Genomic DNA, 6185 nt, shown 5'->3' on the forward strand with positions numbered 1-6185 from the left:
ACTCATTCTGCCAATGAGTTGTGAGCAGTACTAATCTCTCCCAAGCAACCAAAGTTGAACCATTGGGCCACCCCATGAAATGAAACATGTACAATTTACTAAGATTTAACCTAAGTATTAATATTAATATATCCAGCTAGTTAAGATCACCCTAACCTAAGGGTTTCAATTGAATTGCCTCTGTCTGTTTACTACTAAGGTTGACATTTGCTGTTGATTTTTGATGGACAAGCATTACCAAGTTAAGAAAGGTTCCTGTACTTCTGTTTTGAAGCAAATGTGGTAGCTTTGTTATAAAATATTAAATAATTAAAGATATAAAAACATGTAGATGATATGATACCTGGAAAATTGCAATGTGGCTCTGCTATTAGTTACTAAAGACTTCACACTAATTTGTGATGAAACATTTGCCAGGTGTGGCTGGAGAACTGTCTGTCCCACTCCAGGTGGATCCTCTTCCTGTTCATCATATGGTTTCTGTGTCATGAAACTATTTTTTCCTAGTGCTCATGTTGATCCCCATTCAAATGGCTATTTTCTGGGTGACAGAAGCAATATTCTAATTGCAGAGAATTACCAGCTTTGCCCCAGTTGCTGTTTAGTCTTTAAAAACCAGACAATGTCTTTCTCCACCTTTGCTCATTGTTTACCTGATGACTTAGCATTTTTGTCCCAATTTGTTCCTGCATGCATTTGCACAATGCCAAAGAAAGAATCAAGGTGTGACTTTCTCCCACCACTCATCTAAGGGTCTGGGGATCCTTTCTACAGAATGCCTACTACAACTGCAATGAGAAGATGCTTTCCTCTCTCTATTTTGGTAAATAAGAGCATGTTTCAGATCAAGTTCTGCCTAGAATGCTCTCCCTAAAGTCTTTTTCTCTATATCCCGCTTTCTTCTTTTTCTCCAGCTGCAGGAGCTAGAGCTGAAAGACTAGGTTTGCAGCAGACACGCTGGCATTGGGTGTGAACCAGGCAGCCACAAGAAAATCAGGATTGCTGCTGCTGTGGTTTCCCATGCTCTGCTTGCCAGTGTCCTAACCTGTCTCCACCTGAGGCTGGGCTCCCAGGTGCCAGGCTTGGCCTTGGTACAAGCAGGGACCTGGGTGAGTGGAGTTGAATGAGCAAGGCAGGCTTCTTGGTGCAGGAGAAAGAACACTGAGTCTTGGATTCAAATGCAGGCTATGCATTTATTAACTGTGTGACAGGCGGCAAGTCAATTAACCTCTCTGAGATTAATACACTCTCCCCATGTGCAAACTGGAGAGTAGGTCTTTGCTAGGAGAAATAAGTGAGACATTGTACAAAATTTCTGGGCTAGTGCCTGGTTCATACAAGGACTTCAAGAAAGGATGTTTTCTAAAAAGGGACTCATTGATTCATCTAATTGGCTGTAAAATGTTTCCAGGTCCATCAGCTACAATGATGAGCTTACAGCAAACAAAAAGCATTCTGTCTAGTAACAAGATAATGAACCAACAAGGGGCAGGAAAAAAGTTAAACCAGGACGTAGCTAAGGAAAAACAATAAGAGGCGTGATGGCATATCTTTTCAGATAAGCATCTTCCAGTTTCCAAAGGAGTCCAGAAGCCTTTTAGTTTTCTAATGAATCAACTCCAAAGCATGTGCCCTGGGAAATCATGATGTGCCTAATCATTTTAGCAACAATCTCTGAGAAATTGGCCATTACTGAAAGTGACCAACCATTTGGTTGGAACAGCCTGAAGCAAGATTATTAACAGCAAACATGAAGATGATTATTTTAGCAAATTGCCACTGATTGGTAAATTCAGAACACAAAGGCTTCATGCCTGGCTGGAGTCTCTGGGAAATTATTTTACAGCCATAATAAACACCTACCGCTGAGATATAGAAACCATTTAAATCGGTTTTCTCTCTGTTTGGGGAAGGAGCACAGTCATGGGCAGGGATGGGTAGGGATTTGAGAGCGGGGTGAGGTGAAGGGTGCTAGGGAGAGTTTCCATGTCCACCCTGTAGGTTTGGGAGCCCATTTTTCCTATTTGCTGAGCTAAAGGGAAGTCCATCGGAGTATAAAGCTCAACGTGGGCATAAAATACTGGACACAACCAGCACAATTTTTGCATTATAAATTAGTTAGATTTTTGTTTGTTTGAAAGACAACATAGGCTCAAACCAAAACAATTTAAACAAAAATGGAATATTAGGGATTAGTTAAATGGAAAGTCCTAGGAAAGGGTTAGCTTCAGGACTGCCTTGACCAAGGGAATTACTCAGTGGCTCCCAGACTAAATTTTTCTTTGTCAGTTTCCTTAACTTTCTTTCATCTGGGTTGATCCCAGAGTGAGGGACCATGGGGCAAATCCAGATGGAATTTTTTCCATTCCAGGTTCATATCCATTTCCCAGGTGACCTGATAAGGGCCCCGCTTTCTATAATTTGGACCCCAATCTCATCACATTGAGACTTAGGAATGCAATGTGCTAATTTTCCAGGTTGGAACCAGAACACAGAACCATTCCTGGAGCTAAAACACATGAATGGAGAGAAGGGGAGAAACTGGCTTCTCTGAAAAAAAAATGAGATATATTAACCAAAAGCAGGGGCTAGAAGGTGGACAGATCCCCACCCCATCCCCCACACCTTCTCTCTCTCTCTCTCTCTCTCTCTCTCTCTCACACACACACACACACACACACACACACACACACACACACACGAAACATCCACCAGCATGACAACTAACCCCTTGACTAGAAAAAGACATTTAACACTGCAAGAGGCGAACATCTTGAAGTCATAGACTAATAGATGACATGCTGGCTGGGAAGAGATCTTTAGCAAACATGAGGCAGTTGCTCTTAATATCTTCATCACTAAAAAGAGGCATGAAAGGAAAAAGTGACTTGTCCAAACAGTGCTTTAATCAGCTTTGCAGCTCAGGGTTTCTGAGTTGATGCTCAATTCTGTATTCTCTCTGCTTTGTTACTACTTACTCTGGCTTTTAAACATGAAAGTGCATACAGTGCCAAATACATGGCCTTAACCTCCTATTTGCAAGCTGACACAGAAAGGGCCAAAAACATGAGCACTTGGAGAACAAGAGCAAGGTCCAGGAAGACCAATTCTGATATGCAGCATACACCATCACACTGTCGGGCTGTCCATTCTCATCTGTATGGATATGGGCTCAAACTCATCCTCCAACTAGTTTCTGAGTGGCTCTCCCACCAGTCAATCATAGAAGACCCCTGAAACAGAACCCGCCTGTCATTTCTAATCTAGTGGGTTCCACCATTCCACTGTTATTCTGTCCCAGGGAAATTCTTCATGAGCTATCTCTGCAGTATGGCTCCACAATGTGAAAGGGCTGTAGATTTCAGGATCAAATAGATCTACATTCAAACATCAAAGACAGACACTGAGACAAGGATTTCAGTGCGAAGAATTTATTAGGGTGTAATTTTGAGAAGAACTGGTCACAGAGTGAAAAGGCAAGACAAGGAAGCAAGGGCAGTAAATTAAAAAGTAAAAATCAGTTTCAAGAGAATGGTGATGGTAGGTAGCTGTAGGTGACTCCTCATGGGGACTCCGGGAGCCTGTGTAGAACAGGGTCCCTTGGAGTTCTCCCATGTTAGGGGCAAAGGGGGCTTCCCTCCAGGCGTTGGTTGAGGATGTCACTCGGAAATGGACAGAATGGGCTTTGTTGTCCAGAAAATGTTCTTGTGAGAAGAAATGCAGGTGCCAGCAGTTGAAAGACAGGCTGGTGTACGCTCATGTATACAGGACAGGGTGTGGGCAGGGCCCAGGGGACATCTGTTGTTCATGGTGCTCACTGGATTCATGAAACTGGGAGCATCCTCTTACTTTTTCAAGCCTCCTTATTCTCATTTATTAGATAAGGAAGCCGGCACCTTTGTAGGGTTATTCTGCAGCTCACTTGGATAATGCTGTCTACGCCTCTGGCTCTTGGAAAGACTCCAACACCATGCTAGTGATTTTTCCCTTGTCTTGTACTTCAGCAATCTCAGAGGAGAAACTGGATTTTATAGGACTTCTAGCAGGAGGGCACCACATGATCTCCAACCCAGGATGGAATACCGACTTACAGTGAAACAACATCCAGTGGATTTCCCGCTTCATACAGAAAAGCAAGTAGATGAGGCTCTATTGGCCAAAGTCTGTGCAAGGTGCTTCATCTATTTAGTAGGATTTAATCTTCATTCTGTTCGGTGACTACTGCAAAGAAACAATTAAGCGCAGTGGTGAAACCGTTCATCAAACTGAAAGAAGAACCAAGCTCAGGGCTAAAGGTGGATTCCAGAGGAGTGGGGAAGGGAAAAGGGGTGGGGAGAGGGCTGAAAGCTGAGAAGAATAATCGCCCTTGTTATCCCTGGTCACTGAGAACTGTCAGCATCACCTTGCCTCTCTCCATCATCTGTTGACATTCAGACTTCACCATCTGCAGGGATTCGCATGCCTCCAAAACTTTGCACAAGCTTCTCCCTCTGCCTAGAATTCCTTCCTTTCAGTTTTCTAGATGTCTAACTTTATCTTGTCCTTTGAGACTCTGACTTCTCTTGCTGCAGGGACCTTCCACGTTCCACAGCCTCCTGGAAACCCAGTAATCTCCACACATCACGGTAAAGGAGAAGTCAACAGACAATGGCAAGGGATGATAAATTCCATCTCCTCCCCAACAGCTGCCTTTAAGAGAACCAAGCATTCATGGGGTGGCACAGGTCAGAGAACAGCAAACATTGATTGTATAGGCTCTGGGAGATAGGGAGTGGGCCAAGATCTCTGTGAGTTCGTATTATAAGGGATGTTTCTGGGAGAAGATAAAGTTGGGGTGGGACATTTGAGAAGTACCCAGGATTGAAACCTACTGCTCAAATGGGAGAGAGCAAGTTGAGTGCCATTGGTGGGGCAGGGGCCAGCTAGGGGATGGGGGGGGGGGGCAGGTGGTGAGGGCAACCGGAAGTTAGCAGGATAAGCAGGGCATAGCCACTCTATGGATGAACGTTCAAGTTTTTACCCCACAGGCAATAGGGAGCCTCCAAAATTATGGAGTGACCTGGAAAAATGGCATTTTAAGAATTTGGGGGAGATTAATCTGGTCAAGGTGTGTCAGAGAGATTGCATGCAAAGCAATGAGTTACAGAGCCATTGCAGAGAACCCCAGGTGTGATGCAGAAGGGGTGCTAGTGTAGTAGAAAGCACCATTGATTACTTTGAGGAATCCGTGTCCAGGGTAGCAGATATTATGGGTGTTCTATCTGCCAGGCACGATTCTACATTATTTTCATTTAATAACTCATTTAATCCTTACAATAGACCTATAGGATAAATACTGTTATCAACCCTAGTGGTTTGTTTTGTTTTGTTTTTCAGTTGGCAAAAATGAGGTGCTGAGAAGTGAAGTCCCTTGCTCAAGGTCTCTCAGTTACAAGATGGTCAGGACTCAAAGGAACCACAGAGCCTGTGCCCTGTGCTGCCATCACAACACTAAACAGGAAGACCTGGATTCAAACCCCAGCACCTCAACATATGAGTGTTGTGAGTTTGGGAGACTTACTTCTGAACCTCAGTTTCCTTGTCTGTCCAGTGGGGATAATGAAATCTACCTCGTGTCTGCAATATCCAAATGACATCAACACTGAGCACCTTGAGGATTCTAATGAATGTTAATTCCCCTTCCATTTCAATTTGCCACATCACCTTCTAATTGAAAAATATCCTTGAGAAAACAAAAGTCTTTGTGTCCCCAGTGAAGAGGGTGGGGAAGAGGGTGTCGCCTGGGGGAGAGAGCAGCCTTCTCCCCTGCTTTCCCCCCGCATTCCCCCTCTCTGGCCCACCCTCTCCCAAGATAGGGCTGATTTCTTCCTCAACCCAGTTCATTTAAGGTCTCCACCCCATGGAAGAAACACAGGAATCTGTGGCAGTGAACTCAGCAACATTTGTTCTGCAGCCCAAGAATAAACAGAGAAAGCAAGCTCTCTGCGTCTTCAGAAGTGCATTTACTGTACTCGAAACAGATGAGTTCCCTCTGTTTGCATTAATCGCATGACTATTTGGTCCAATTATTCCTACCACTTCAGCAATCATGGCGTGCTTGTTCGAGAAGAAAGAAATAACAACAGCTTATCTTGTTGAGAGCAAAGAACAAACAGTGAAAAATCAGGGTGCGTTCCCAAATGCGA

General features: G+C 43.9%; 1 annotated feature.

The window, feature by feature from the left end:
* Positions 4642-5841: an enhancer, noted in NCBI's record as "CDK7 strongly-dependent group 2 enhancer chr16:80078510-80079709 (GRCh37/hg19 assembly coordinates)". NCBI's record gives its function as "activates an origin of replication core promoter dependent on BRD2, BRD4, P300/CBP, MED14 and CDK7 cofactors, with strong dependence on CDK7, by STARR-seq in HCT116 cells {active_cell/tissue: HCT116}" and the evidence as "EXISTENCE:reporter gene assay evidence [ECO:0000049][PMID:35650434]".

Source organism: Homo sapiens, chromosome 16 (genome assembly GCF_000001405.40).
Source record: "Homo sapiens chromosome 16, GRCh38.p14 Primary Assembly".
Lineage (NCBI taxonomy): Eukaryota > Metazoa > Chordata > Mammalia > Primates > Hominidae > Homo > Homo sapiens.